The sequence below is a fragment of the Homo sapiens genome, chromosome 3, assembly GCF_000001405.40.
Source record: "Homo sapiens chromosome 3, GRCh38.p14 Primary Assembly".
Lineage (NCBI taxonomy): Eukaryota > Metazoa > Chordata > Mammalia > Primates > Hominidae > Homo > Homo sapiens.
Window position 1 is genome coordinate 180,673,000 of NC_000003.12, and position 27,744 is coordinate 180,700,743.

At 37.4% G+C, this 27,744-nt stretch overlaps 1 protein-coding gene and 1 long non-coding RNA gene across 2 annotated transcripts in view, besides 2 other annotated features; one reads left to right on the forward strand and one right to left on the reverse strand.

Annotated features, from left to right (window-relative positions):
- CCDC39 (coiled-coil domain 39 molecular ruler complex subunit) overlaps positions 1–6,490 on the reverse strand; it is a 65,482-nt gene extending 58,992 nt beyond the window's left edge. The window contains exon 1 of the mRNA NM_181426.2: positions 6,292–6,490. Coding sequence (NP_852091.1) covers positions 6,292–6,381 — 90 coding nt within the window. The 5' untranslated portion in view covers positions 6,382–6,490. The remainder of the gene's footprint in view (positions 1–6,291) is intronic.
- Positions 6,762–6,861: an enhancer, noted in NCBI's record as "active region_20876". NCBI's record gives its function as "activates an Ori minimal core promoter by ATAC-STARR-seq in GM12878 lymphoblastoid cells {active_cell/tissue: GM12878}" and the evidence as "EXISTENCE:reporter gene assay evidence [ECO:0000049][PMID:35858748]".
- Positions 6,942–6,991: an enhancer, noted in NCBI's record as "active region_20877". NCBI's record gives its function as "activates an Ori minimal core promoter by ATAC-STARR-seq in GM12878 lymphoblastoid cells {active_cell/tissue: GM12878}" and the evidence as "EXISTENCE:reporter gene assay evidence [ECO:0000049][PMID:35858748]".
- Positions 7,082–27,453, forward strand: CCDC39-AS1 (CCDC39 antisense RNA 1). The gene is made up of 2 exons (NR_046725.1): positions 7,082–7,191; positions 27,275–27,453. It is a non-coding gene; the product is annotated as a CCDC39 antisense RNA 1 (long non-coding RNA).
- The last annotated feature ends 291 nt before the right edge of the window (positions 27,454–27,744 follow it).

Below are 27,744 nucleotides of genomic sequence, written 5' to 3' on the forward strand. Positions count from 1 at the left end.
TAGCTAGAGAACTAGAATCAAAAGGGGAGCCTGAAGATGTGACTGAATTGCTGCAATTTTATTAACAAACTTGAACAGATGAGGAGTTGTCTCTTACAGATGAGCAAAGAAAGCAGTTCCTTGAGATAGTATCTACTCCTAGTGAAGATGCTGTGAACATTGTTGAAATTACAAGGAATTTAGAATATTACATAAGCTTATTTGATAAAGCAGCAGCAGGGTATTGGAGAATTGACTCCACCTTTGAAAGTTCTACTGTGCATACAATGTTATCAAACATTATTGCATGCTACAGAAAAATCTTTCATGAAAGGAAGAATCTGTTGATGCGGCAAAGTTCATTGTTCTCTTATTTTTAAAAATTGGCACAGCCACTTGAACCTTCAGCCACCACCTTGATCAGTCAGCAAACATCAACATCAAAACAAGACTCTCCACCAGCAAAATGGTTACAACTCACTGAAGGCTCAGATGCTTGTTAGTATTTTTTTTAACAATAAAGTATTTTCAATTAAGGTATGCACACGTTTTGAATTTTTTATTGAACACCTAATAGACTGAAGTAAAAGTAAACATAACTTTTACATGCACTGTGTGACTTGCTTTATTGCAACGTTCATTTTGTTGCAGTGGTCTGGAACTGAACTCACAATATCTTGAAGGTAAGCCTACACAAGAAAAACGAAGGTATGTGATCTAGGAAATACAGCCTCAGCTCAGCAGAGGAATAAAGAGAATTTCCAAGGTAACAGTTGTAAAACAGGCCTGTGGGAAAATCTGTACATATTGGAAAATACAGCACTCCAGAAGGAAGTGGGTGGGAAGTAGGGGGCAGAAGGAATAGAAGAGTACCTTGAAGAGCTGATGCTTTAAGATGTATAAACTTAAAGCAGGCAATGCAAGGAAGTAGACTGGCAATCTAGGATGCAAGAAATTAAAATGACAGTACTTGGCAATGCAGGCTCTTTCTTGGTTCCATATAAATTTTAAAGTAGTTTTTTCCAGTTCTGTGAAGAAAGTCATTGGTAGCTTCATGGGGATGGCATTGAATCTGTAAATTACCTTGTGCAGTATGGCCATTTTCACGATATTGATTCTTCCTATTCATGAGCATGGAATGTTCTTCCATTTGTTTGTGTCCTCTTTTATTTTGTTGAGCAGTGGTTTGTAGTTCTCCTTGAAGAGGTCTTTCACATCCCTTGTAAGTTGGATTCCTAGATATTTTATTCTCTTTGAAGCAATTGTGAATGGGAGTTCACTCATGATTTGGCTCTCTGTTTGTCTGTTATTGGTGTATAAGAATGCCTGTGATTTTTGCACATTGATTTTGTATCCTGAGACTTTGCTGAAGTTGCTTATCAGCTTAAGGAGATTTTGGGCTGAGACGATGGGGTTTTCTAGATATACAATCATGTCATCTGCAAACAGGGACAATTTGACTTCCTCTTTTCCTAATTGAATACCCTTTATTTCTTTATCCTGCCTGATTGCCTTGGCCAGAACTTCCAACACTATGTTGAATAGGAGTGGTGAGAGAGGGCATCCCTGTCTTGTGCCAGTTTTCAAAGGGAATGCTTCCAGTTTTTGCCCATTCAGTATGATATTAGCTGTGGGTTTGTCATAAATAGCTCTTATTATTTTGAGATACGGCCCATCAATACCTAATTTATTGAGAATTTTTAGCATGAATGGCTGTTGAATTTTGTTGAAGGCCTTTTCTGCATCTATTGAGATAATCATGTGGTTTTTGTCTTTGGTTCTGTTTATATGCTGGATTACGTTTATTGATTTGCATATGTTGAACCAGCCTTGCATCCCAGGGATGAAGCCCACTTGATCATCGTGGATAAGCTTTTCGATATGCTGCTGGATTCGGTTTGCCAGTATTTTATGGAGGATTTTTGCATCGATGTTCATCAGGGATATTGGACTAAAAATTCTCTTTTTTTGTTGTATCTCTGCCAGGCTTTGGTATCAGGATGATGCTGGCCTCATAGAATGAGTTAGGGAGAATTCCCTCTTTTTCTATTGATTGGAATAGTTTCAGAAGGAATGGTACCAGCTCCTCCTTGTACCTCTGGTAAAATTTGGCTGTGAATACATCTGGTCCTGGACTTTTTTTGGTTGGTAAGCTATTAATTATTGCCTCAATTTCAGAGCCTGTTATTGGTCTATTCAGAGATTCAACTTCTTCCTGGTTTAGTCTTGGGAGGGTGTATGTGTCCAGGAATGTATCCATTTCTTCTAGATTTTCTAGTTTACTTGCATAGAGGTGTTTATGGTATTTTCTGATGGTAGTTTATATTTCCATGGGATCGGTGGTGATATCCTCTTTATCATTTTTTATTACATCTATTTGATTGTTCTCTCTTTTCTTCTTTATTAGTCTTGCTAGCGGTCTATCAATTTTGTTGATCGTTTCAAAAAACCAGCTCCTGGATTCATTGATTTTTTGAAGGGTTTTTTGTGTCTCTATCTCCTTCAGTTCTGCTCTGATCTTAATTATTTCTTGCCTTCTGCTAGCTTTTGACTGTGTTTGCTCTTGCTTCTCTAGTTCTTCTAATTGTGATGTTAGGGTGTCAATTTTAGATCTTTCCTGCTTTCTCTTGTGGGCATTTAGTGCTATAAATTTCCCTCTACACACTGCTTTAAATGTGTCCCAGAGATTCTGGTATGTTGTGTCTTTGTTCTCATTGAAGCCAAAAAAACAAAGCTGGAGGCATCACGCTACCTGACTTCAAACTATACTACAAGGCTACAGTAACCAAAACAGCATGGTACTGGTACCAAAACAGAGATATAGACCAATGGAACAGAATAGAGCCCTCAGAAATAATACCACACATCTACAACCATCTGATCTTTGACAAACCTGACAAAAACAAGAAATGGGGAAGGGATTCCCTATTTAATAAATGTGCTGGGAAAACCTGCTAGCCATATGTAGAAAGCTGAAACTGGATTCCTTCCTTACACCTTATACAAAAATTAATTCAATATGGATTAAAGACTTAAATGTTAGACCTAAAACCATAAAAACCCTAGAAGAAAACCTAGGCAATACCATTCAGGACATAGGCATGGGCAAGGACTTCATGTCTAAAACACCAAAAGCAATGGCAACAAAAGCCAAAATTGACAAATGGGATCTCATTAAACTAAAGAGCTTCTGCACAGCAAAAGAAACTACCATCAGAATGAACAGGCAAACTACAGAATGGGAGAAAATTTTTGCAATCTACTCATCTGACAAAGGGCTAATATCCAGAATCTACAAAGAACTCAAACAAATTTACAAGAGAAAAACAAACAACCCCATCAAAAAGTGGGCAAAGGATATGAACTGACACTTCTCAAAAGAAGACATTTATGCAGCCAACAGACATGAAAAAATGCTCATCATCACTGGCCATCAGAGAAATGCAAATCAAAACCACAATGAGATATCATCTCACACCAGTTAGAATGGCGATCATTAAAAAGTCAGGAAACAACAGGTGCTGGAAAGGATGTGGAGAAATAGGAACACTTTTACACTGTTGGTGGGACTGTAAACTAGTTCAACCATTGTGGAAGACAGTGTGGCGATTCCTGAAGGATCTAGAACTAGAAATACCATTTGACCCAGCCATCCCATTACTGGGTATATACCCAAAGGAATATAAATCATGCTGCTATAGACACATGCACACGTATGTTTATTGCAGCACTATTCACAACAGCAAAGACTTGGAACCAACCCAAATGTCCAACAATGATAGACTGGATTAAGAAAATGTGGCACATATACACCATGGAATACTATGCAGCCATAAAAAATGATGAGTTCATGTCCTTTGTAGGGACATGGATGGAGCTGGAAACTATCATTCTTAGCAAACTATTGCAAGGACAAAAACCAAAACCAAACACTGCATGTTCTCACTCATAGGTGGGAATTGAACAATGCGAACACTTGGATACAGGAAGGGGAACATCACACACTGGGGCCTGTTGTGGGGTGTGGGCAGCGGGGAGGGATAGCATTAGGAGATATACCTAATGTAAATGATGAGTTAATGGGTGCAGCACACCAACATGGCACATGTATACATATGTAACAAACCTGCACGTTGTGCACATGTACCCTAAAACTTAAAGTATTATAATAATAATAATAATAATAATTTTATATATATATATATATATATATATATATATATATATATATATATATAAAATCACAGTACTATGGGCCCTTCTTGCAACAATCATTTGAGGATAAAATCCAGCCAGCCAAAAGACAAATCAAAATGAAAAGTTCAAGAAAGATAAACTGAATAAAAGTGACTGCGGTAAGGACCATTAAAGCAAATCAAGTATAAAACTAACACTAAACACTTGTGATAAATTAAGGGCATTGAATCAAATGCAAATAAAACTTGATAATATTAAAAATGATAAAACCATTATTTTTAATAGGGGAAAAGGAGGTGGGAAAATGTGTAAGAGTGCTAACTTATTCTTTAAAATCAGAGACATTCAGTAATCTATATTTGAAATATAGAGTTCTTAGAAACATTAACCATTTAATTTTTTCTTAACTTAGAGGAATTTTTTTAGCAATCAGCACCTCTTGTGATCAAGTAATATTTACCTGAAATTCAACAACTGCTTTTTCTTCTCTCAAATACTAAAATAAATATTTTGTGTTAAATACCGCATATATATAATTCCATTATAATACTCATTTTTCTCTTCTTTCTGTATATCTGTATACCAAGATGTCTGAAATGTGTGTTTAATGCCATGGTAATCATTTCTACAGTACAGTGGACACTTTGGAGAGGAAATACCTTATGTTTTTATCTCATACCCTTCTATTCTGTTTGAATATCTTAAATTTACAGGAGTTGCTTTTTAAATGTCAGAGTTTAAAAAGCAATTTAATTTAATGCAATTGTGGTGCTCATTTTTCTTCTTTATATGGCTCTATACTTTTTTAAAAGAGCTAATATACTTAATATGTACATAAAAATCCTGTGTGACACATATTATGGCAAGAATACTAAAACCTAAAATTTGGATGGAACCTTAACCCATATTATGTCCCTAGAGCCCGCGAAGTAATTAGTTTGTTCATCTCCATCTCCGCTTTACAAAAAAAGAAGCAGGATTAGGGTTGGTAAGTAGGATCTGAACCCAGGGCTGGATACTTAGTATTAATTCCTCGGTACTCAGTGCTAGATCCCTTACATTTCCTAATATTGCCCTCCTTTGGGGAAAAATTGCAGTCTTCTAAATTACACATGAGTAAATAGGTCAGAACGTGTTAAAAAGCATTTCCATTGTTTTCAAAAGGTAGAGTAACAGGATTTTCATTTTCCTTTTTTAGAGCTGAGAAAACTTTCTGTTCCGTTTTACAAAGTTGTGTAAGCATCATCTGTTATTCTTGGACCTTCTTCTACACAACATATCACCACCAAAGTTTTTCAAAATTTGCTGACCCGGTTGCAATTTTTTATTTTTTTATTTTTTCGTAGAGACGCGGTGGGAGGGGTTTGTGGGGGGTCTCGCTTTGTTGTTCAAGCTTGTTTTACTCCTGGCTTTTAGGGTTCCTCCGCCTCAGCCTCCCAAAGTGCTGGGATTACAGGTGTGAGCCACTGCGCCCGGCCTGCAATTTTTTTTTTTTTAACAACTGCTATGAATTGTAGTTAGTGTAAGTTCGTCCTTGCAACGTAAAATTTCTTATGTTAATCTGTGACAACTCAATCTTCTCTTTGAAAAACTGTAAACCGCACATTTCATTCTTACCGGGCTGTTCCTCTTGAAAACATCTCAAGTCACTTTCAGCTTTAAACATTACAGACAAAAACTCACAAAGAAATATGAACCTTCTGGAGTTTAATTTATAAACGTGCGCAAATAACCGTTGCTATGCAAACCTCAGAAATTCTTTTCCAAGTAGCTCTTTAATTTTTGAGCAAGGAAAAAGCGGGCGCCGGAACCAGCCTTTCCTCTCTCGCCAGGAGGAACGAAATAAGTAAGAGGAGTGGGCATGAGGAAGGGAGTAATAATTCGAGCTTTATAACCCTAAATGTCAATTATGGTTTTAATAGCATTTTTAAATGCTTAACAATTACTGAAATAGGCAGAGAGGGTAAGGGAGGAGGGCGATGGTGCGGGGGAGTGTTAGAGGAAGCACAGGATTAGGAAAGGAGAGAAATAAAAGGGCTGGGGTAGTACTGCCAACCAGAAAACGCCCCCAACAGGCTCTCTCTGCTTCCTCCCGCCTGCTTCAATTGATCTCACCTGATCTTCCAGTAGCTTGTTCTCCTCGTTCGCCACCGGGATGGCGAACCCATCCTCCCAGTGCAGCTCAGCCAGGAATTCGCTACTCATGACTGCAAACGGATAGAGAAGATACAGAGCAAAGATCCGCCTTCTTGTACAGCGGGTGAGCAGCACCCGCGTCAAGCCCAGGCACCTGCACAGTGCCGCGGCAATTGCCGGGGGAGCCCTAGCAACCTTCCCGCGTCCTTAGTTACCAAACAGGAAACGCTCCAGCCCGAAGGCGAAACTTCCGGTTGAGAACTCCCTGCCTGCAGGCCGAAGAATCTTTTTCTTACCTTGAGCACTGAGGGATGAGCAGCAACTTGCCCCTCCCGACGTTCCCGGGGGTTGCCAGGCGGCAGCGTAACTTTCCACGAAAAGGCGGCTCTCGGATCGCTCCCGGAGCGTGTGAAAACTGTGGCCCCCGGAGCTGGCTGGAGGACCACGGGGCAGCTGGCTGGAAGTAAACCACACGATCCTCCGATTGCCTGGGGGAAGACGGGAGCCAACAGGGATTATAAACTAAGTTTCTTTTCAAGGTGTGTTTGCTGTGTTGTGTAGATTTCAGCTACTACAGTAGGTGAAAGTAGACCGAAGTGAACTGGTGTTTGGAAACAACTCTCTCTCTGGCATCACTGGGATGTTCTGATCGTCGCCTGTTTCAGTCGGCCAGCCTTCCTCACCGCACTCACCGGCCCCATCGCGGATGTCCCAGTCGATCACAGACGCGGACCGCGCGGAGGCCGCACACTTGTGGCGCGGTGTGGTGGTCCCTCCGGCACCACTCCCATACTTGCATTTTTCTTTGCATTTTTGTTTGCTAACATTTAAAGTGTGGAATTTCGCATAAACGTCTGTATTTCCTCTGCTTGAAAAAGGGTAGGTGACACAATCCCCATTATCAAAAGGCAATGTTCCGCTGGAGAGGCGCCCCCTTTAGACCAACAAAGCACTTTACCAGTTCACTAATTTGAATTACCTGCTTGGCACGGGTAGGCATTTGAGTTATAGTCTCTCTTGTATAGTATCTCAGAACTGGAAAGGACAAAACAATCAACTAATCTAATCCTTTCATTTTCTCGGTAAGTTAAACCGAGGCTCCTTGAGGCAAAGTGATTAAAGAAGGGATGCTGTGCATGAATTAATTTTACGTATCCAATAATCATCTGTAATTTTTTTTGCTCTTTCGAATTTTATTTTACCTAGACATTGTTAAACTTTTATTATAAATATTTTAAATGTATATGGGAATAGAAAGCAGAGTATAAATAACTGCTATATATGCATCACCTTGATTTAGCATTCATATTTTGCCATGTTAGCATCATCTGTATCTTTTGCTCAAGTGAAAAAATAATCATAGACATCATGACATTACAGCCCTAAATACATGAGCATGTATTGGTAGAAGAGTGGTTAATGTTATCTAACATAAGCACAATATCATTATCACACCTATAAAAATCAACTATTCTTCAATATCATCTAATAACCATTTCAGATTCATATTTCGACTGTCCTAAAAATGTCTTTTTACAGTCGATTTGTTTGTCACTATAGTTCTGAAATCCTCCTGTAGGAGCTTTGTCTCTTTGTGCCTACATTGTTTTCCATAAACTTAATCTTGTGGACTTAGTGCCTTTAAAGACTAGAATTAGCAAAGCATTTTATTCCCCCTTTCTACAATGATTAAAGGCTGGGGAGAAAGGCTCAACTTGTAGAAGAAATTTGACCTGCATGTAATAGTGGAATTTTAGATATAATGACATTTAATCCTTTATAAATGATCATTACTTATTTTATAATAGTTTAGTCATTCCAACTAATGAAAATGTTAGTATTCAGCTTATGTTAAGATGGTACATAGTTATTTATACTTGGGATATGTTGTGGCAATGCTGCTTTCTAAAATTATTGGTGTTGGGTCAAAGGTGGGGAGGAAAATGGCAGAACAAGACTTCCAGCAATCAGCCCTCACAGAAACATCAATTGGAACAAAACTATTCACCTACGAAAATACCTTCACAAGAGCTAAGGAAACCAATCACATTTAATTACCTTTTAATACAGCAAAAAGTAAAAATAAAATAATTGGTATTATCACCCATGTATCTTAAAATTACCTAATTTACCATCCCAGTTTTTAATATGAATACTGAGCTGCCTCGACCTGTGCCAATGAGTTGAAGCACCCCTCTCAGTGTCAGCTGTAGCTGCCAAATGCATGACTGTGGAGTCTTTTTCATCTTTCCATTAATTTTACTTCTAGGAATACGTCCTACAGAAACAGTTACATAGGTAAGTTCCATGCCCTTATACCGCACGGGCATAAGAAGTCTAGCAACTGAAGCTCTGAGAATCCCATGTCTCATTTCTCAAAGATTCCATTTCCTGAATTTGAGGATAACAATTATATGATATTTACTTCTAGATGAAATGCCCATGCTTTCTCCAAATTCTACAATTCTGCCTTAAAATGGTATCTCATTACAGAATCTCGTATCACCTAGTTCCCACTCGAATTCTACAAGTTCTAGACCATAACTCTATTTGCATTCATCCAGATCTAGCTTTGGAAACAAAACCCATAGTTTTATAAGCTTTGTTGTTGAAATGCTCAATTTAATTCCAACATGCTAAAGAAGATGTTACCCTTTTACTGTCTTATTCCCTTAAATTCACCAAATCAAGTTGCGCAGGCTAAAACATAAAGTTTATTTGTTCTGCAAAAATAATGTAGAAAAAATACTTCTATGTATGAAGTAAAAGAAAAAGATGTATTTCACCTCCATGCCAATCCTACTTGTAAGAGAGTACCACTGTTTAGTGTTTACCTAACCAGCATTTTTAAATGAAGCTATAAATATTTACATATGTCAATTTTGTCCTACATAAATATAATCATATAGTAAATATTATTCTGCAAATCCATTCTTTTCACTTAACAATAGTGGCCATGTTTCCATGTCAGTACATTTAGATCTACCTTAGTCTTTTTACAGAAGCTTAAAATTCAGTATTATCAATTATAACTTTATAAACAGTGCTGCAATGCACATCTTGATAATACTGCATTTCATCAATTCTGGTTATACTTTTTTTCACATTTTTATATCTCTGAAATCGAGATGCATCTTTTAATCAATGAAATTAGATTTGGTGAAATATGATATAATCTTGCATACCTATGTAAATGTCTCTACAGGAAAAATTCTTAGAAGTAAAATTAATGGAAAACAGATTTAAGCAATTTTATTTTGATAGGTAACACTAAATTATTCTTCAAAAAGGCTTTACATATTCTCCAAAAATATGAGAGTATCTTTGCATACCTGGATATTATGAAATATTAAATATTTTACAATATAGAGAACAAAATACAGTATCTCATAGTTAATGGACATTTCCCTAATAAGGGAGACTCAGCATCACATTTCTTCTAAGAATTTCTTTATCATATTCTTTGCCCAGTTTTTCCCTACTCAGTGATCTTATTGAATTATAGCAGTGCTTTCTGTGTTATGGATAGTATTCTCTCTCTCTCTCTCTCTCTCTCTCTCTCTGTGTGTGTGTGTGTGTGTGTGTGTGTGTGTGTGTGTAAGTATTTTTCTCCCAGTCTGTTTTTGGAGGCTTTCTGTTTAACTTTGTTTTTAGTGTATTTTGCCATACACACCTCAGAAACTACCCTTGTTGCCATCAGCATGCTTCCTACTCAGCGGACTCTTTCATCATCAACTTACCCAATCTAGCAGCAGCATTAAACTCACCTGTTCTTTCCCTGTTAAAACATTTTCCTCTCTTGGCTTTTATGAGTTTTTCTTTCCTGTCAGTTTCCCATTAACTTTATTTATCTCCTTTGCTGCTTTATCTTGGCCCATTTGGCCACTCAACAATGGTATTCCTCAAGACCCAAAGCTGATCCCTCTACTCTTCTCTTCTTACAATTGCTTCCTAGGTAATGATATCCATTTTCATGTCTTTAAATGCTATGGTAGGTGTATTAGTTTGCTAGGACTGCCATAATATCATACACTAGGTGGCTTAACAGAAATTTATTTTCTCACAGTTCTAGGGGCTAGCAATTCAAGAGCAAGGGATGGTTTCTGATGAGGCCTCCCTCCTTGGCTTGCAAGATGGCTGCCTTCTCACCGTGTCTTCACATGGTCTTTTCTCTGTGCACATGGATTGCTGGTGTCTCTTTCTCTTCTTATAAGGATACCACCAGTCCTGTTGGATTAGGGTTCCGCACTTCTGACCTCGTTTAACCTTAGTTCCCTCGGTAAAGACCCTGTTTCCAAATACAGTCAAATTGGGAGTGGCTTCAACTTATGAATTTGGGCAGGGGAGGGGCCCAACTCAGTCCAAAACAGCTGATATTTTCTTAATTTTATTCTTAACATTTCTCTAGCCCAGATCTCTCTTCTGTTCTCCAAACATACATCCAGCTGCTTACTAGAAAATTCTGTCAAGATGTCTCATCGATATCTTAAACCCGATTCACAGGTCTAAGATAGAATTCTTGACTTCAACTGCACATATTTCAAAGCTGTTTCCCTGTCTTTTCTACACAGCCAGCACACCGCCATCTACTGAACTGTATAAAATCAAATCCTGACTGTGATTACTGATTCCTTCCTTTTCCTCACCTCTCATCTTCAATACATCACTATTACATCTCACTTTCAGCCCCCAAAGCTGTACTGATCCTACTGCTCTCCATCTCCACTGCCACTACTCTAATTTAGGCTTTCATCACCTGTCACTACGTTACCAAAATTGTCTCCCCATCAATCTGCCCACCTCTGCTCTTGTTCTCCTAAAAATCCATCCTCCCCTCAGCAATTAAGGTAATCTTTTCTTTCTGACATCAAATTCCAAAATGTTTCCAACATAAAAAAAGCTGAAATAGTTTTAGTCCTCTGGATCTAGTTGGTACCTAGATCCTGCCATTAATATTTGCCTCTTCATATGTTTATCTCTCTATTCATCCATCAATCCGTATTATTTCTTCATGTATTTCAAAATAAATTCTAAGAATCAATACACTTCCTTCTTAAATACCATGCTTATGTTTACTTTTGTTTACATTTCTCCTCTACAGTGAAATTTACATACAAAGAAAAACACAAATCTTTCGTTTTGACAAGTGCATGACTTGGTTAACCTAAACTACTCTCAAGATATAGAATATTACCACTACCACAAAACATTCCCTCATGCCTCTTTCCAGTCAGTCCCTCCTCTCACCTCCCCAAATCCCCAGAGACAACTATTTTTCCAGGTTTTTTTTTTCTATTGTAAGTTTTCTTTCTTTTAAAATTCCAAATAAACAGAAAGGTACCATATTGTACCAGTTAATAATTTATTGCCTCTCAGCTCCAAATTCACCCATTTTTCCTGTTCTGTTAAAACAGTATGGGCTCTTTAAAGAGTTCTCTTTTGGCTGTTGGCATAAAATTAGGCTTTATCAACAGAGGGCATAGGAGAGACATTGCAGAAGGAAAATAGATTTTTTTTTTTTTGCTTTGTTTTGTTTTTCTTTCTGGTTTCCATGAGCTCACCTGGCAGGCTCCTGTAGCACACACAGCTTCTCCAGCCCCTGGCTCCTGTGTTGCACACAGCTTCTCCAGCGTCCAGCCCCTGCATCACAGGCATTTTCTCCAGCATTAGGCTCCTGCAGTGCTTGTGACTTCTCCAGTTCCCAGCTCCTGCAGTGCGAAGCAGGCAGCAGCATCCAGAAGCTTTCCTTAGCGCCCCACCCCACTCTGAACTCTTCACTTGGGCAGTTCTGTAGCAGAGTGCCTCTGGTGAGACATGTCCCAATGAATAGATTTCCCTGGCATCATAAAGAATAGATTTTCAGCCAGTTCCACTGCACCAAAACAACTCTGCCATTCACTGAACCCTGTGGTGGGGGTGGAGGAGTCTCTTCCTTGGGTACTGTATTTCAGCTTTAGGGATACTGGCTGCTCCTTATAGCTGCTATTTTTATATTCCTTAGAGCTCTTTACATCTTAACAGTCAACCATTGTTGACTCTTATCCTCTGTATAATGAAGAATTTTTATATTAAACTTTCCCTGTTAAGTTACTATGTGGTTTCTTTCTCCTCACTGGACCCAGATTCATACAAGGACAGTTTGTACTTTTAGAAATAACATGCTTTTTTTCACTCTGCATGATGTTTTTGATATTTATCCATAATTGTGGTACATAGCAATAGTTTGTTTCTTTTTATTACTGTGTTGTTTCCAGGTTTGGATAATTATGAATAAAGCTATTATAAACATCCTTGTACCAGTCTTTTTAACACATTTTTTATTTTAGAATAGTTTTGGATTTACATAAAATTTACAAAGATAGTAAAGAGAGTTTCCAGATACCCCTCACCAAGTTTTAGTTTCCCCAATGTTATTATTTCACATTGTCATGGTACATTCATCAGAATGAAGAAGCCAACCATGCTACATTACTATACACTACACTTGATTTTTTTGTTTTGTTTTGTTTTAGATGGAGTCTCACTCGTCGCCTAGGCTGGAGTGAAGTGGCACGATCTCGGCTCACTGCAACCTCCACCTCCCAGGTTCAAGCGATTCTCCTGCCTCAGCATCCAGAGTAGCTGGGATTACAGGCGCCCGCCACCACACCTGGCTAATTTTTGTATTTTTAGTAGAGATGAGGTTTCACCATGTTGATCAGGCTGGTCTCGAACTCCTGACCTCGTGATCTGCCTGCCTCAGCCTCCCAAAGTACTGGGATTACAGGCGTGAGCCACTGCACCCAACCCAGACTTCTAGTTCTTCCATTAATGTTCATTTTCTGTCCCAGAATCCAATCCAGCATATCACATTGCATTTTCTTGTTATATCTCATTAGTCTCCCTTGTGTCTGTGATAAGTTCTCAATTTTTTTCTTGTTTTTCATAACCTTGACAGTATTCAGGAGCACTGACTCATCTAATATTGTGTAAAATATCCCTCAGTTTGATTTTGTCTGATGGTTGTCACATGCTTAGGCTGGAGTTAGGGGTTTTTGGAAAGAAAACCACAGAGGTTAAGTGTCCTTCTCATCACATAATATCGGAGGTATATTATGTCTCCATGACATCACTTGTGATTTTATCTTCAGTCATTCTGTTAAGGTAATGTTTGCCAGGTTTCTTCACTGTAAAGTTACTATTTTTTCCCATCCATACTCAATTCTTTGGAAGCAATTCACTAAGTTCAGCCTGGTCTCAAAGGAGGGAGATTAAACTCTATCGCCTAAAAGAATAATATCTACATACAATATTTAAAATTTTTTGTAAATAACACTATTTCTTCTTTATTTGCTCAATCTTTTTATGTCACTATGGACAAATGCGTATTTTATATTTGGGGTTATAATCCAAACAATGTTAGTCATTTTGTGGCTCAATTTGTTCCATCCTTGGCCATTGGCCCCTGTGTGTCTTTGACATGCCTTCATCATTTTGTTTTTGTTTCATTTGGTTTGTTTTTGAGCACCTCATTACTTTCTGGTACTGCATGACTTTTCAGGTTCATCTTGTATTTTTCCTAACCCAGCTTGAGAATCAGCCATTTCTCCAAGGAGGCCTGGTTCCTTTTATGGGAGAATGGTGTTTAGAAACCAAGATCTGGAGTCTGGGTATGTTTGTTTTTGTGGTGGTGTCATTGCTTTCAGGTCCTCTCAGAGTCAGAGCTAAATAATATACGTATGTACATTATTAACCCATGAATTCATACATATCTATCATTGTTTTTGCTTCTGTATGCATAAGCTAAACACTAGCACATATTGCTATCTCTGACTCTCACCCAGTACCATAAAGCTTGTACTAGCCTTCCCTTTTTACCTATTTATAACTTTCCTGCTAGTCATGAGAAATCTTGCTCCTACCATCGATTATTCATTTACTTATTTTTTCCAGCCCCAGTATACATTTAAAGTACTTTCAGAATTACTAACCTGTACTTCCAGTACCAGTGTTTTCATGGACATATGTTTTTATTTCTCTTGAATAAATTCCAAGAAGTGCAATTGCTGACCGTAAGATAGGTGTTTGGCCAGCATGGTGGCACACACCTATAATCCTAGCTACTCAGGAGGCTGATGCAGGAGGATTGCTTCAGCTCAGGAGTTCGAGACCAGCTGGGCAACATACCAGGACCCTGTTTCTTAAATAAAATTGTTCTAAAAAAGATAGATGCATGATTAGTTTTATAAAAACACACCAGAGCTTTTTCCAAAGTAATTGTGCCATTTTAAGGGTTTCTTTTGTTAAATCAAATTTTTCCCAAGTTAAAACTCTTCAATGGACTCCTAGTTTAGTTAGAATTAAATCCAAACTCCTTAACTGGTCTACAAAGTCCTGTGTGATCTGACCTCTGCCTATTTCTCTCATCCCATCTCTTGCCAACTTTTCCTTCACTAACTACATTTCAGCCATACTGACTTTCCAAAATTGTTTCTCCAGAGCCTCAAAAAACTGACCGGGCATGGTGATTCATGTGTGTAATCCCAACACTTTGGAAGGCCAGAGTGGGCAGATCACTTGAAGCCAGAAGTTCAAGACCACCCTGGGCAACATGGCAAAACCCTGTCTCTACTAAAAATGAAACAATTAGCCAGGCGTGGTGGCATGTGCCTGTAGTTCCAGCTACTCAGGAGGTTGAAGTGGGAGGATTGCTTGAGCCCGGGAGGCAGAGGTTGCACTGAGTTGAGATTACACCACTGCACTCCAGCCTGGGCAACAGAGTGAGACCCTGTCTCAAAACAAACAAACAAAAAAAAGGAGTGTCTTCAGATACACTGGTCTCTCTTCCCAGAACATTTTCCTTCCCTAATGGCTAGGTCCTTATTATTCTCCAGGGCCCCATATTCTTCAGTTTATCTATAAATTTAGAGACACTTCCCTGCCCATTTAATTCAATACAGTTTTTCCTAGTTATTTTCTCTCATGGCAAACTTTTCACATTTAGTAATTACCTTCAAACAACTTACCACAATTAGTAATTATGTTTCTATTTGCTTATTTTCTATCCTTTCAACTAGACTACAACATGAATGACAACAGGAACCATATGCATTTAAAAAAAAATTTGCTTAAGCTTAGTGGCAAGAAGCATATGCATTTTGTTCACCCTATATTCAGAATCTAGAGTAATGCCTGGAACATAATAGTAAAATCCATAGAAAGAATAGATATGACAAGACAATGACAAGAGTTTTAGATTTGTATGTAGTTATATCTGTCAGTCCTTTCTTTGGTGATTTTCATGTTTTGGCTACACTGAGGAACGCCTTTCCCAGATTATTTTAAAAGTCTCCAATAATTTCTTCTCATACTTATATAATTACATATTCTACAGCAAAATTTGTAAGGCACATGAAATGTATGTTCATGTGTGAGAGGAAGCAGATTCATAACTCTTTTTTCAAAACAAATAGCAATAGACCATTCATTAAATAGTTTATCTCTCTCTTTTGATTTGAAATGCATTCTTTTTATAATAAATTCTCACACATGGAAAGATATGCTTCTGGATGTCTGGTGTTTCGTTGATTTATTTATCTTTACAAAAGTGCCACACTGTTTTGAGTAGCATAGCTTTTTAGTATGGTAGGGCAAAACATACTACCACCACCATCACAACTATTCTGTCTAGTATCACACACTTTCACCTCCAAATGAACTTTGGAATTGAGTCGTCAAGTTTTTTTTAAAGAGCCCTAGGCATTTTCACTGAAAGTTTCTTGAATATACAGAATAATTTAAGAACTGAAACTTTTATCATATTGTCTTCCTACCCAGAAATATCTAAATGTCTCCATTTGTTCAGATCTTCTTTTATGTAATTAATTCTTAATATACTTGCACATGACCAGATTCAGAGCATTTCTATAACCCCAGAATTAGAAGAAACCTCCAAGATTGCCCCGACTACAAAATGTACATCAGCAACATGCAGTGCTTTTACACTTCCACTGATTAGGTACTCACTACCTCCTAAGGAAATACATTTTCCCACAATAGATAATGAAATAGATAATGACTTGGATAATGAAATAAGTCACATAGGGAAAATATCAGAGAAGTTCTGTAATTGTCCTATTTCATAATTTCCTTATCTACACAAAATGCTTTTTTAGTGATGATTATCTTGATCAGTATGTATAAAAATTTTTAAATGTGTACAGTTCACAAGGCTGTATCAGATTGTTGGCTGTTCTGTTGAGCACTGTTAATTAAGGAGATGGATGTAAGTCTTTATAAAGGGACATTAACCTCACAGTCAAATATTATGCAATATTTCTGAAATCATTGTTACTTTTTTCAGTGTTTTCATCATTGTTCCTGGCACATAGTAATCTCTTGATTAATACTCACTGAATTAATGAATTAATGAATGGATCATTCTTATGGATTTATTTCTCCTAATAACAGAGAGACATAACTACATTAAAACAAATTTTCTAATGCAGAGGAACAGTAAAGACCTCTCTAATTACAGATTTTCAATATCCTTTTCTGGGAAATACACATTCACAATTTGTTTTTGCCCATGATAACCACTGCCTTGTAAAAAAAAATTATGTAATTTACTTAATATTTTTAAAGATATGTATGTATATTATTATATAATTAACCTGGGTACAGGGGTGTGTGTGTGTGTGTGTGTGTGTGTGTGTAATTAATTTCTGTAGATGAGTGACTTGAAACAAAAGCTAACAATTTTCTGTGACTATTTCCTACAACCCAAGACAATGAAGAAAAGACTCTTTATATCAAAGTATTCTTACATATAAGTAAAATAGTCCTAAAAATCAAAGGAAATCACTAAACCAATACTTTAAGAAGCTTTGATATTCAGAGGTCCACACTTTTACTAGTGAAAAAAACACACTTTACTGATTTTATTCATTTACTCTGATCCAGTAGATGGTGCTACATGTCTGTATATGTAAAGTATCACAGTGCCTTTTTTCTCTCTCTCTTTTTTTTTCCTTTCTTTCTTTTTTTCTTTTTTCTTTTGACCCAGAACTCTCATCAACGTCTACTATTATAATGAAGATCATTATTCCTGACATCTGAGCCAAATCTTTGGGTGCAGCTTTAAAGATGTACTTAAGAAGAAAACCCCCTAGAAATAATTTTGGACCAGATACCAACCTAACAATTTATTAACATTTTTCCCCTCAGTTCGTTTTTACTTTAAAATGACAAATCTTTGACCCCACACAGAACTCTCTGTCAATCCATGAAAAACATCTAGATGCAAAATCATAATCCCTCTTATTCTTCTAAACACTGCTAGTTGCTATTGTTTTAAAGCAATCAAAATAATGATAATAATTAATAATGAAAGTTCAAATTCAGGATCGTAATGGATAAATCAGCTTGTTACTCAAGTTATAAACTTAGATATATAAAAATTTATAAATGAAGTTTTTGTTGAATCAGTGATTAATCTAGTCACATAAATTAATGTTTCTTTATGGATCATAAAAAACAGAAAGCTTTAGAAAAGCAGGGATGATATTTTAAGTGTCAGCACAAATAACCCATATCACCCTGCAACCTACAAACAATTAATTTATGTTTCCTATTTACTCTAAACACAACTAAACTTGACATATAATCTGAATCAGAAGTTATCCATTTTTTGCCTCTTTTGAGTTTGATTTAGTGATGATGAGAGCTATGGTCACTAATCAGTGCTATAGATAATACAGGTATTCATAATCTGCTGACACAAGGCTTAATAAAATGGCTTTAGTTGATGAACTATACCCCTTTAAGGGTTAAATTCTAATACAAATATAGAAAAATCAGAAGTAACCTTTCAGATGACTTATCATTTATGCTTTCCTTCATTCATATCTCCATTAACTCTTTTACCTATCTTTGAACAAACTCAAGGAAACAGGATAGAATCGGTTACTCCTAGGTACGTTACACAAAATAGAAAAGCACATGATCTTTATCGAGAGAATGACAACTTAATGAAAAAGACCAAAAATATATATAATAAAAATGATCAATTATAATATAGGCAAGGTGGATAATATAAATCAACTTAAATATCTCTTGGTAGATGAGGTCAGAGTAGGGTGCTGCTAACACCTCCTTTGTATAACTAGCCTAACTAGAGGTGATAACATTGACCGAACGACTAGATGAGCCGTAAAGGGATAGAACTTCCTAAGGGAAGTAGCTTCTAAATTCTTACTTTTTTGAGATATGATAATTGTCATAAGTAAAGTTCTTCATTTATAAAAGAAACATTGCATTCGTTCAGACAGGATCTAAGCCCTTAATTTACAACAATGAAAAAAATGATTATCCTTTCCTTGAGTTTACTATCAAGTGGAGAACTGACCACAGAAGCTGCCTGCTATCTGGACTCCTGACCTCCATAATTGATTTCTCTAATATCATCTCCATACCTCTGCCAAAGTGATTTTCCAAACCTCAACTCTGAGTACATCACCCCTTCCCCATGAACACTCCTCCATGGCTCTCCATGACCCCCTCTAACATGGCATATAAGGCCTTCCTGAACTGGCCCCTCCTTCTTCCCCAGCCTTACCTTTCACTCACCTTCACCTTAACACTACAATTTCTAGCCCGACTAAATTTTTTTCCCTCAAGTTCTCTCTCACTTCAGTCTTTCACATGTCTGTTCCCTCTGCCTGGGTACTCTTTTCACATTTGCCCAGCTAATCCCAACCTTCTCTAACCTATATGTGCCCCCCTAACACCATATTTTTGCTATCATGGCACAGTCCTGCCTCCTTGAGTTTGTTATACTTTTTATTTCTCCTGGTCTTCTATTATTCTAAAAGCAACATAAGTCAGAGAGCATCCGCCTTATTTAGCACTGGCTCCCTAGCGCTAGGTACACAGTAGACATTCATGCGTTCATTGTATTAACAGTCATTGAGCACCAAATATGTGACATGCTCTCAGTAGAGAGTGATAGGGACATGTATCTGTGAACAAAGAAGACTCGAATGTTGCCTTCCAGAACTTTTGTTAAATTAACAAGAGCAGACCAAGTGCACACAGTACAGCAAGGCTGTCAGGACTCATCAAGGCAAGCATTTCTATGTCTCCAGGTGGGAGGGCAGCAGGGGCAGAGGAGCCACCCAGGAAGAAAAGCCTCTTACCTGAAGCTTTTAAGATAGGGATACAAAGGTTCCCATAAAAAGTTGGGTGAAAGTGCATTCCACGTGGTGGGAATAACAATAAAAAGACAATAATGTAGAAACTCCTGAGTTTGGCTGGGAGAGTACAAGGAACTACTTGTAATTAGTGGAGAAATACCAGTAGTTTAACACTGCTGGTCATAGGGTGACTTTTGTGGAGTAACATTTGCCTGGGAGAATGACATGACATAAGGCAGGACGAGTTGAAAGATACCAGATCACAAAAATATTTTCTTGTAGACAATAAGCATAAATTGAATAATTTTAAATGGGCAAGATGAGAGGAAAGGAGAATATGAAATAGGGGAAGAGAAAAGAGGCAGAAAGTAAGACTTGTGACTATTTTAAAGGGGGGCCAACCAAGAGGATGCTTTTCTCATTGTGTGAGAACTATCAGGGACCAGGGGATTTGGGGTGAAAAAACTAACCCCCAAATCTACCAGCAATATTGTGCCACAAGTAGCAAAGTTTTCAAAACCTCTTTAAGATCACCTTATAAAGTGTAAATATGTTTTTGCCTAACTTTTCAAATGCGTATATATTCTCCAACATTCCTAACAACCACACTCCTTAAGGCATCAGAGTATATATTAACACCTACGAGTGCCTGTATGTTTGTAAACATCAGCTAATTATCCGGGGTCCACGGGAAGACCAGGCCTCAGCACAGGAAATAAAGAAAAAAGGGGCAGGAATTCTATGCCCCGTGTCTTATGCTGCACTAGCTGTTAGTAAAAGAAATATTGGCAATGACTTTCTTTGCTTTCAGTGTTGCTCTTCAAAATTACACTATCTTTCATTTCCTTCCTTGCTCTTTCTTGAACTTTTTTCATGTTCTTTACAATGAGCATGAACTACTCTTATAATTAAAAGAAAAATACTTTCTAACAACGATATGCCAAAAAAAAAAGATCCTTGGTGTAACAAGGAGTAGTGAAAACAGCAAACAAAAAACATACCCACCGTGTAACCACTGTATAGAAAAATGCGGGGTAAAGATATAAGGAAATGTGTGTCTGTCATGATACTGTACACACCATCCATGTGAGCACAGCACAAAAACAAGGCTGGTATGAGGCTTCAGCTTGAACTTCCATGCTGCTATATGGAAAAAGCACCCCTCCACTGGGCTGAGACACTTGGCTTTCTTATAGCTAAGGCTTTAATTTAAGAGACACTGCAGAGAGGTGGCTGGCTTTTATTCTATGAGCTATAGCTCTGCACATAATATATGGGTAAGTTTACTCAAAGCACTTTTTATCAGCTGTCAATCTGTTTCTTAGCTTGCATTTGGCTACATTTCAGGTAGCAAAGGAGAAAGCAGGGATTAGTCCATGGCTCTTGCCCTGGGGGAATTAATTGTTGCTTGTTACTTTAGTGAATTGTATGTGGAAGTAATTGCTGTTCTTCTGCTATATTCTGTGGTTTTATTCACATAAATCCTATGTAAAGCTCATTCTGAGTACAATCTAGTCAGTATATTCAAAAGCGGATGAACTGCCTGTATTCATGTACCTAGATAGTTGGAAGCAGTTATTTGAAAAACTGTCTTACAAATACTATCCCATGTTGACACATTTGTGAAGTTACGTTGACTCCTTCATCCTGGAATCCGGTCAGTGTGTCTGCCCATGTCCTACCATAGGCTGAGAATTTTATGCTATCAAATTTTTTTCTTCTCTCCACACTCAATGCCAATTTCTTATTATTCCCATATCATTATCTTACTCCAAACTCCTTTATGAGTGAGTGTCTTAAGTTTCAATGAGGATTTCTGAAGATACAAACTATTCTACCCTTTCTTATTTTCTTTTAACCCTGCCTCTCACTAAGGTTCATTGAAGGGTAGCTAGTAATGGTAGGGGAGAGACAGAGAAAGAGGAAGAGAAAGAAAGAGAGAGAGATGCACACATTAACCAACAGTTTTCTTTTATGAACAAGAAAATTGGCCATTTTCCTATTAGCATATGAGGAACCTAAGAATGTCTCTTGTTGTCAAGGCAACAGCTATTCCTTGGGTAGCTGCAATAGAAAAGAAACCAGAGCAATCTTTATAGGACCAAGTTTTTTTATCATCAAATCATAGAAAGGAAACTTGGGCATCTACCTAGCCTATTCTCCTGCCTTTAGTTAAGACCCACAAAAATAATGTGAAACCAACACAAAAACAGTCCTATTTTATATGCTTCTGAAGATCTTGCATAGCTTTCCTTGTTAATCATTTGCAGTGTTTTTCAGGGCATATTGCAAATAAATTTTTTTCAATCATTCTAACTTAAATCTTTCATGCTGCAGCTTGAAATTTGCTTCCTACACTTCCATTCTCAGTAGAAATAAACCATTGTACACTTTCCTTTCTAAGAATCTTGGCCAAACTTGAGAAAAATAACAAAATTATCTGTCTTAAACTCCTCAAAGTGAACAATGCTAGATCCTTTATCTTTCAAACCATTGGTATTGTAGGTCTCCTCTGATGAGTCTTATATTCTGCAAGACCATCTCTAATTAGGGAATCCAGTCTTGCCTCTTAACTTTCATAGAAAGCTGGCCAGTGGCACCCAAAAAGGACAGAACACCATCTAGTTTCAGTCTGTCTACTCAAGTATCATTGGTAAAGTTTTTATCTGTGGAATTATGTTCATTGTCAGATGGTTTTAGTTGCTGTTTTGCACAGTATGGCTAATACAACTTTGACTGGTTTGTGCTGACTGGTTTGAGCACAATCACTCGTTCCACATCTGGTACTTGGAAAACTGATTTTATTCACAGGACTCTGATACATAGACTATTCTTTTTCCTTGTAAAATCATATTTTCTTGATTCTTTCTTTCAAGATGAAATTCACTCCTTTCTGAACTCACAGTGACAAGTTTAGTAACCATCCTTTCAGTTCCCCTGTACATGTCTCTGATTAATATATGCTGAGCACTAGACACAGGAAGGCATCCTGACATTTTTAAAAAGATATCCATATTGGCCGGCCAAGCAGAAAATATTTATCATCCAGAACCAAATATTTCTTTTTTCTCGCTTGATTTCTTGCGTCATTTTGACCTATTACCTTAGTGCTTCTGCCATAGATGCCATATTTTCTGGTCCTACTTTTCCTCATCTTTGAAATGAAGAGGCAGCAAACATAGACTAACAGCATTTATTGATCCCTTAGTCTATACTAGGCATTTTTATTTTTTATTTTTTTATTTTTATTTTTTTTTTTAGACAGAGTTTCACTCTTTTGCCCAGGCTGGAGTGCAGTGGTGTAATCTCTGCTCACTGCAACCTCCATCCCCCAGGTTCAAGAGATTCTCCTGCCTCAGCCTCTCAAGTAGCTGGGATTACAGGCACCCCCCACCACACCCGACTAATTTTTGTACTTTTAGTAGAGACGGGGTTTCGCCATGTTGGCCAGGCTGGTCTCGAACTCTTGACCTCAGGTGATCCACCTGCCTTGGCCTCCAAAGTGCTGGGATTACAGGCGTGAGCCACCTAGCCTGGCCTACACTATGCACTTTTTAAAGCACTTTATATTGTCTCATTTTGGCTTCACAATAATTCTATGAGGTAGATATTTATTGTCATTACCATTTTACAAAAAAAGAAAACTGAAGCTTAGCATGGTCAAGTAGCTTTCCCAAGATAACACAAATACTGGGTGGTTGAGCCAGACTTTGAGATAAGGTGATCTGATCTCTCATACTCTTAACCACTGTTCCATGGGGGCAGGAAAATGAGTACTCCACTTACACGCTGCTGTAAGGAATAAAGATTGGTAGAATCTTTCTGGAAGGTAATTTGTTAATATGTTATCAAAGTCTTTTAAAAGATGCATATCCTTTGCTCCAGTCCTTTTTTTATGTTACAGATATCTATGTTGTATTTGCAGTGTGCCAGTCACTGCTCTAAGTGTTTTTCATATATTAAAAAACAAAATAATGACCACAGCATGAGGTAGGTACTAATATCTTCATTTTGTAGAAAACCAAACTGAGGCAATTAGAAGCTAAGTGATTTTCCCAAAATCTCACAATTCTTCAGGTGTGAAGCTGAGTTGTAGCTACAGAATCTAAGTGTCCTTAATCACTGCACTATCCAGTAGTTTTAATTTTAGAAATCAAGTCTTGAGAAGTAATTATGTATATACACAAGACATTATCATTATAGCTCTGTTCCTATAATAAAAAAGTGGAAAGAAATGGTTGTAAATTCATATGGCACTCTATAACAAATAAATACTTTGTTGTAGAGGAAGCAAGTACTATATTAACATCACACATATGATATATTGATAACAAAAGAGAGTAAATGAAATAATGTTATGACATATCTAGTTTTTATTTTAAAAGTAGGCATATATAGGCACAGAAATAAACTAGAAGAATATACAAACAAACTAGAAGAACAACAAAAAGTAAACAGTAGTCTTTGGGTGATGAGGTGGTAGGTGGTTTTTTTATTGAATATATATTTTTTCTTTTTTCAAATAATTAAAGTATATTTCTAAATAGCAAATCTTAATTTAAAAGTAATCTAAGGAGGTTGTAATGGAGTATGTCTGGGGTCTTTTAGACAGTGGGGTGGTGCTTACATTGTATATTTATAGGAACAGCCATGCTTTAACTTTAACTGGAATCTAATCTCCCTAGTCAATCCTTTGTTGATATCATGCTGGCAAACAAGAAGGATTACCTGGCTTGTTTTAATGCCGATTTTATGTGATCTGAGTAACTCCTAATGAGAATTTGGAAACTCTTGCCCCAGATCTATCAATATGATAAGCCATTTAACTCCTTTTGCTACATCTCTGCATTCTGTTGATGGTATTAGTGACTTTAAGATCGAGTAATGGTTAAGTGCCAAGTTCCAGGCATCAGTTCTCTTTGGTTCCATTCCTAAATCCACTACTTAGTTTAGCCATATGACCTTGAAGTCTATAGACTTTATTTTCCTCATCAGTATATAGGGGTTTTGAGATAATTAACTGAAATAACATATGTAAAACACTACTATGTAGGGCACTTAGTAGTTACTCAGTAGATAGATGGTAGCTATTTTTATTAATAGCCTTTGTTATTGTTCAATGTTCATTTTTAAAAGTGCATATGAAGCATAGTAGCTCACATCTGTAATCCCAGCACTTTGGGAGGCCGAGGTGGGAGGATAGTTTGAGGCCAGGAGTTCAAGACCAGCCTGAGCAACATGGCTAGACCCTGTCTCTACAAAAAAAAATAAATAAACAAAAATAAGAAATTGAGCTTGTCATAGTGGCACACAACCCAGCTTCTTGGGAGGCTGAGGTGGGAGGATCCCTTGAGTCCAGAAGTTTGAGGCCACAGTGAAATATGATTGTGCCATTGCACTCCAGAGAGAGACCTTGCCTCTTAAAAAAATTGTGCGTGTGAGATTCTCTAGTAAAAGCTACTATGCACTTTTTATGTGATATTCTCAACCGAAGAATTTAAATTTTTCTTTGGCAGAGAGATGAGGAAAAGCAGGCTATCATCTATGAGAGGATCTATTTAAATTTGTTAAACTGCATGTTTTAAATGATCCCTGTGGTTTTCTAAGGCCAGTTTTCATGATCAATGTGATTAGCATTATCTATTTCAATTAAAAAAATAATTTTTATGAAACTATTTCAAATTCATAGTCAATATACACTGATTGTTTTAACTATGCTATAGACTATTTGCTTTTACATGTAGATAAACTCTCAAATCAAGATGTGGACCCTCACACACCCTAATTATCATCAGAAACTAATGCTATATTGTTTGATGCCTACCAGTTTCCATGGGAAAGGATTATCAGGTTAAATTATGTGTCTTATGTGCAAGAAGAATATCAATGAAATACCTTTATCCCATAGCATTCTATGGCTACTTCCAAAAAAGACTTCCATGTTTATATGCCAACATAAGGAATGATGAATGCACACACACACACCTTATTTTTCAATAAACGAAATTAAGAGGGTAGTATTCACCTCCTAACACTGTCTCCTCTGAGCTCAAAAGAAACAGCTCTGGAAAAACTCTAGCTGTCTTTTGCCAATAGAGTTGTCCACCAAAATCTGAACCGGCTTTTCAACTGGGTCTGGTTGTGTGAGGCAAAGCAGGGCTTGTGTTGTCAGACATCTCTCTACCTCTCCCCATGCTCCACATTAGCTGAGCCTCACTGCCCTTCACCATAATCCTCCCAGGCCTGCTCTCCACGTTGGTTGAGCCTCACTGCTCCAACAAGTAATGCACTTCCCACACAATGGAGGCATGGCAGGAGCAGTGTGAAGGAAACCAGATAATGCAGTCACAAGCTTGACAGACTTGCTCCCTTTCGAGTGGTACATTATGAACTGGCCAAGTGAAACATGAAGGTATTATCCTGTCTTATCTGCTGGTTGAATGGGGTGCAGCCTCCTTCATGGTAAGGTTTTTGGCTTGTTGCCAGAGGATTCTCACTTTAGCTGCTTCACATATTCGCCCAGAGTCCTGCCTCTTCACCTCTGTTAACTATTTTGGCTCTGACTTGCTCCAGAATGAGAAATGAGGACATGTTGGGTCCAGGTGATGACTCTGCCAAACGGGTTTTATGAATCACAGGTCAATTCTGAAGCTGATTTAGAAACATCTGCCACTGTAAAGTGAGTTTAGGGAACCAGGTTACATTAAAGAGGACTTGGGTTTCCTACACTTATCTGCCTCCACAGAACTGGCTTTAGTCTTTTCCCAGAGAAATATATTATTTTGGGTCATAATTCCCTATCTGAGAGAGGAGATTGTAAACACATGCACACACACGCACACACACACACACTCTTCAGAGTCTACATGAAATGGATTCAGGGTTGGGTTTTACAACAAGATTCCAAAGTGAATATGATGCCAAATCTGTAGCTTGAGAATGACTTCCCATAGAATTCCTAGTCCCAACTAAAGACAAACTCAAGGGCTAAATTTCTAAGTTTATGAGCCTCTCTGATAAAGCAAAAACACCCTTAAAGCCTAAAGTTCCTTTTATAGTTGGCAATAATTAACAATAAAACATATAGCACTGCTTTTGATAAGACACCCAAAATGGGTGCCTAGTTTTTATTAAACGTTGTAAGTAAACAGCTGAGTCTGCCAGAACCAAAAGCATAGCCCTTTTTACATAATAATTAATTCTACAAAAGACCAGCACACAGACCATCATCCAGTTATTCCTTGCATGATCCTAAAGAAAATTACTTGAGGTAACTAAGGTTTAGTTTCATTATGGGTAAAATGTTATCTCTATCCCATAAAAATTTGCTAAGGATTAAAGGTAGGTAAAGAGCCTAGCCCAACACCCAACCAGTGTAATGTAGGTACCCAATTTAGGTCAGCTTCCTTCTCTTCCCTATTCCTTTGACTTCTTTGCAAACAACTGGATTGTGTATCACTGTATCAAGAGATCTTAATCAGATCAGAGAGCAATCAGCATAATAAAAAAAGGTCTGTAAGAGCACAGTCCAATTTACTTATTGGTTCAAATTGCTGAAATAGCCCCTGGATTTAAAGGCTCAGGAAAGTAATTAATGCATACCATCCTAGGATTTCAAAGGTGTTTATAGGTAATATTTTATTCAAGTCTATAAAGGCCTGAAGTTGAAGGCAGCACAGATTCTCATCTTCATTTTACAGGCACTTGAATTTTTTGAGATTGTGTGCTTCCAAGAAAACAACCAATCTGTGACCAAGATGTAATTAAGACCCATGATTTCTAATTCCCAGGCTTTGACTCCAACCTCTGAAAATGCTTCAATTCAATGAAACTAATGGCACTTTGGTCTCTGGAATTAGATCCTGTTATCAATGACTTCCACATGGAAAGATCATTCCAAAATGTGTAATTAACCAAGAAAATGCAAATAAACCAATTTGTACCTGCTATTTAGAGGTAAGACACAGAAATGGCTTGAGTTTATTATTTGAAAACCTAACCTTTTTCCGCTTTGAATGTAGCTCATGTTCTCTAGTTCACATAGTTTTTTTGCAAAATTTACATTTTCAGTGAAATATTTTAATCATTTGTGATTCTGTTATCAGTGCAGAGTTTAGAATGGAGAGAGAAATATATGTCATTGGGCACAATGTGAAAACACAAAGGTCTTTCAATGACCTTTCACAATTCAACTCAATAAATATTTTTCAAAACTCGACTCTTTACCAGGCTTTATGCTAAGTAGGGTAGGAGTCAAGCT